At 48.9% G+C, this 5,397-nt stretch overlaps 1 annotated feature.

Annotated features, from left to right (window-relative positions):
* Positions 61 to 270: a silencer, noted in NCBI's record as "silent region_20713". NCBI's record gives its function as "represses an Ori minimal core promoter by ATAC-STARR-seq in GM12878 lymphoblastoid cells {active_cell/tissue: GM12878}" and the evidence as "EXISTENCE:reporter gene assay evidence [ECO:0000049][PMID:35858748]".

Here is a 5,397-nt window from a genome sequence, read left to right as displayed (position 1 = left end):
GAGAAGAGGGAGTGTCCTCCCCGCCCTTTTTTTTTTTTTTTTTTGAATACCGATTTCTGTAATTTAATAAAGCGAGATCGGCTCGGGGTCGGCGCCCACCTATGACGGGGCTCTTGGCTGGGAGAAGGCCGCGTGCTGAGCCCCGGCGGGAGGTGGGGCGGGCGCCCCCGCGCGGAAGTTTGGTGAAGGGCTCAGAGGGGCAGGGCTAGCAAAATCAAAGTCCCCAGCTTGTTCCCAGAGAGCGATTTCTAGGGCCCGGGAGGTGGGCCTTGGTGACGTTAGATTGCGTTCCCAGTGAATATAGCTAGGTGTCGTAAGAGCGTCTGAAGTTCGCTGGTTTGTGTGTGTGTGTTTTGTTTTTTTTTTTCTTAAAGAAGCAGATCCAAAAAAACCTCGATTACCGATAAATCGGTATTTTAAAATTTAAAGAATTTTGAGACCTTAACCCACTTTTCGTCGTGTTGAAAAGCAGTTGAGTGATTTGTTTTTCTCCTTGCATTTCTATACAAATTTTATCATAAACAGCTATTTCCTTTTTTGTTTGCAATAAATTTATTTCCATAAAAACTTGTTAGACAGCTATTATGCAAAAGTATAGTAAAGAGAAGTGAAAAGATAATATGAAAGCCACAATGACGAATACTGAGAAGCCAAGCTCACTTTAGAATACTTGTAAGTAGTCATCAAGTTAGCTTATTTAGGAAATAAATATTATGAGGCCGGGCGCGGTGGCTCACGCCTGTAATCCCAGCACTTTGGGAGGCTGAGGCGGGTGGATCACGAGGTCAGGAATTCGAGACCAGCCTGGCCAATATGGTGAAACTCCGTCTCTACTAAAAATACAAAAAAAAAAAAAAATTAGCCGCCCGTGGTGGCGGGCGCCTGTAGTCCCAGCTACTCCGGAGGCTGAGGCAGGAGAATGGCGTGAACCCGGAAGGCGGAGCTTGCCGTGAGCTGAGATCGCGCCAACCGCACTCCAGCCTGGGTGACAGAGCGAGACTCCGTCTCAAAATATATATATATTATAAATGAAAAAAATGAGGGAAATTAGGGAAAATGAGGGGCAATATGAGAAGTGAAGAAAGGAATTCATTAAGGTGATAATTGCTACCTCTCTTTTTTTTCCCCCCGACTTTTAAGTTCAGGGGTGCATGCGCAGGATATGCAGGTTTGTTACATAGGTAAACTGTGTGCCATGGTGGTTTGCTGCGCAGATCATCCCATCACCTAGGTATTAAGCCCAGCATCCATTAGCTGTTCTTCCTGATGCTCTCTCTCCTCCCACCCCCAGCCGTCAGACAGCCCCCAGTGTGTGTTGTTCCCCCGCATGTGTCCATGTGTTCTCACCACTCAGCTCCCACTTATAAGTGGTAACATGCGGTATTTGGTTTTCTGCTCCTGCGTTACTTTGCTGAGAATAATGGCTTTCGGCTCCATCCATGTCCCTGCAAAGGATATGATGTTGTTCCTTTTTATGGCTGCATGGTATTCCATGGTGTGTATGTACCACATTTTGTTTATCCAGTCTATCATTGATGAGCATTTGGGTTGATTCCACGTCTTTGCTATTGTGAATAGTGCTGCAGTGAGCATATGTGTGCATGTATCTTTATAACAGAATGGTTTATATTTTAGAGGCTATATACCCAGTAATGAGATTGCTTGGTCTAATGGTATTTCGGCCTCTAGGGCTTTGAGGAATTGCCACTCTGTCTTCCACAATGGTTGAACTAATTTACACCCCCACAAATAGTGTAAGAGCGTTCCTTTTTCTCCACAACCTCGCCAGCATCTTTTGTTTTTTGACTTTTTAACAATCACCATTCTGACTAGTGTGAGGTGGTATCTCATGTGGTTTTGATTTGCATTTCTCGAATTATCAGTGATATTGAGCTTTTTTCCGTGTTTGTTGGCCGCATGTATGCCTTCTTTTGAGAAGTGTCTGTTCATGTCCTTTCCCCACTTTTTAATGGAGTTGTTTTTTATAAACAGCTATTTTAAACCAGAAAAAAAATGTAAGGAGAGGTGAATAAGAATTTAGGTTTTCTGGGCCGGGTGCGGTGGCTCACGTCTGTAATCCCAGCACTTTGGGAGGCCAAGGTGGGCTGATCACTTGAGATCAGGAGTTCGAGACCAGCCTGACCAAAATCCTGAGCTGGCAAAAACCCTCCTAAAAAATAGAAAAATTACCTGGGCGTGGTGGCACTACCTGTAATCCCAGCTACTCGGGAGGCTGAGGCAGAATTGCTTGAAACTGGGAGGGGGAGGTTGCAGTGAGCTGAGATTGAGACATTGCACTCTAGCCTGGACAACAGAGCCAGACTGTCTCAAAAAAAAAAAAATAGAATTTAGGTTATCTGTGTGTTCATTGAATACTTAAGTAAAATTTATATGAATACGTGTTTTATATCACATAAATTTTTGGTACAACAATTTAGCTAAAATAGGAAGTTATGTTTCAATAAATGCATGCATTAGTTAAGTGATGGTGAAAACTGGAGGTAATCACTTTAATCTTACATTCTTTTTTTTTTTTCTTTTTTTTGAGACAGAGTCGTGCTCTCTCGCTCAGGCTGGAGTGCAGTGGTACAATCTCAGCTCACTGCAACCTCTGCCTCCTGGATTCAAGCAATTCCCGTGCTTCAGCCTGCCAAGTAACTGGGATTACAGGTGTACGCCACCACGCCCAGCTAATTTTTTGGTATTTTTACTAGAGACAAGGTTTCACCTTGTTGGCCAGGTTGGTCTCAAACTCCTGACTTCAAAGTGATCTGCCTTCCAAAGTGCTGGGATTACAGGCCTGAGCCACCACGCCCCGCCTTAATCTTAGATTCTAAATATTTATACCAGCCAATTACAAAAACACACTGAGGTGATTAAAATGCCGGGGTATTATACAGTGGTGATGATTGCACATCTTTGTAAATATGCTAAAAACCAGTGAATTGTACAGTTTAATGTGGTGAATCTTAGGACATGTGAACTTTATCTAAATAAAAAAATCCGGCCGGGCTTGGTGGCTCACGCCTGTAATCCCAGCACTCTGGGAAGCCAAGGCAGGTGGATCATGAGGTTAGGAGTTTGAGACCCGCCTGGCCAACATAGTGAAACCTGTCTACTAAAAATACAAAAAAATTTCCCGGGCGTGGTACTGTGCGCCAGTAATCCCAGCTTCTCGGGAGGTTGAGGCAGGAGAATCTCATGAACCCGGAAGGTGGAGGATGCAGTAAACCCAGATCGTGCCATGGCACTCCAGCCCGGGATACAGTGCGAGACTCCGTCTCAAAAACAAAAACAAACAAAAAAAAACAACTCCAGCGAGATAGCGCCACTGCACTCCAGCCTGGCTGACAGAGTGAGACCCTGTCTCAGAGGAAAAAAAAAAAATACAGGCCAGGCATGGTGGCCTCGTGCCTATAATCCTAGTGTGTCCGGAATTGGTGGGTTCTTGGTCTCACTGACTTCAAGAATGAGGCCGTGGACCCTCGCGGTGAGTGCTACAGCTCTTAAGGTGGCGCATCTGGAGTTTGTTCCTTCTGATGTTTCGGATGTGTCTGGAGTTTCTTCCTTCTGGTGGGTTCGTGGTCTCGCTGGCTCAGGAGTGAAGCTGCAGACCCTCGCGGTGAGTGTTACAGCTCTTAAGGCAGCACGTCTGGAGTTGTTCGTTCCTCCCGGTGGGCTCATGGTCTCGCTGGCTTCAGGAGTGAAGCTGCAGATCTTCGCGGTGAGTGTTACAGCTCATAAAAGCAGCGTGGACCCAGAGTGAGCAGTAGCAACATTTATTGCAAAGAGTGAAAGAACAAAGCTTCCACAGTGTGGAAGCAGACCCAAGCAGGTTGCCAATGCTGGCTCGGGCAGCCTGCTTTTATTCTCTTATCTGGCCCCACCCACATCCTGCTGATTGGTAGAGCCGAGTGCATTTACAATCCCTGAGCTAGATACAAAGGTTCTCCATGTCCCCATCAGATTAGTTAGATACAGAATTTTGACACACAGGTTCTCCAAGGCCCCACCAGAGCAGCTAGATACAGAGTGTCGATTGGTGCACTCACAAACCTTGAGCTAAAGAGAGGGTGCTGATTGGTATGTTTACAAACCTTGAGCTAGATACAGAGTGCCGATTGGTGTATTTACAATCCCTGAGCTAGACATAAAGGTTCTCCAAGGCCCCACCAGAGCAGCTAGATACAGAGTGTCGACTGGTGCACTCACAAACCTTGAGCTAAACACAGGGTGCTGATTGGTGTATTTACAATCCCTGAGCTAGACATAAAGGTTCTCCAAGGCCCCACCAGAGCAGCTAGATACAGAGTGTTGATTGGTGCACTCACAAACCTTGAGGTAAACACAGGGTGCTGATTGGTGTATTTACAATCCCTGAGCTAGACATAAAGACTCTCCACGTCCCCACCAGACTCAGGAGCCCAGCTGGCTCCACCCAGTGGATCCGGCACCGGGGCTGCAGGTGGAGCTGCCTGCCAGTCCTGCGCCGTGCGCTCGCATTCCTCAGCCCTTGGGTGGTCGATGGGACTGGGCGCTGTGGAGCAGGGGGTGGTGCTCCTCGGGGAGGCTGGGGCCGCACAGGAGCCCATGGAGTGGGTGGGAGGCTCAGGCATGGCGGGCTGCAGGTCCCGAGCCCTGTCCTGCGGGAAGGCAGCTAAGGCTCCGTGAGAAATCGAGAGCAGCGCCGGCGGGCTGGCACTGCTGGGGGACCCAGTACACCCTCCGCAGCTGCTGGCCCGGGTGCTAAGTCCCTCATTGCCCGGGGCCAGCAGGGCTGGCTGACTGCTCCGAGTGCAGGGCCCGCCAAGCCCACGCCCACCCGGAACTCCAGCTGGCCCGCAAGCGCCGCATGCAGCCCCGGTTCCCGCTCGGGCCTCTCCCTCCACACCTCCTTGCAAGCTGAGGGAGTGGGCTCCAGCCTTGGCCAGCCCAGAAAGGGGCTCCCACAGTGCAGTGGTGGGCTGAAGGGCTCCTCAAGTGCCGCCAAAGTGGGAGCCCAGGCAGAGGAGGCACCGAGAGCAAGCGAGGGCTGTGAGGACTGCCAGCACGCTGTCACCTCTCACTAGCAATTTGGGAAACCAAAGCTGGAGGATCTCTTGAGCCCAGGAGTTCCAGACCAGCCTGCTCAACATAGGAAGACCCCCATCTCTACAAAAATTAGCTGAACCCAGTGGCTAACACCTGTAGTCCCAGCTACTAGGGAGACTGAGGTGGAAGGATCGCTTGAGCCCAGGTGGTTGAGGCTGCAGTAAGCTGTGATTGAGCCACTGCACTCCAGCCTGGGCAACAGAGGAGACCCTGTCTCAAAAATAAAAATGAATAATAAATCATAAAATCCATTGTTAATTAAAGGCCGGGCGTGGTGGCTCAGGCCTGTAATCCCAACACTTTGGG

Source organism: Homo sapiens, chromosome X, assembly GCF_000001405.40.
Source record: "Homo sapiens chromosome X, GRCh38.p14 Primary Assembly".
In the NCBI taxonomy this organism is placed as follows: domain Eukaryota; kingdom Metazoa; phylum Chordata; class Mammalia; order Primates; family Hominidae; genus Homo; species Homo sapiens.
This window is presented reverse-complemented; position numbering and strand designations above follow the sequence as displayed.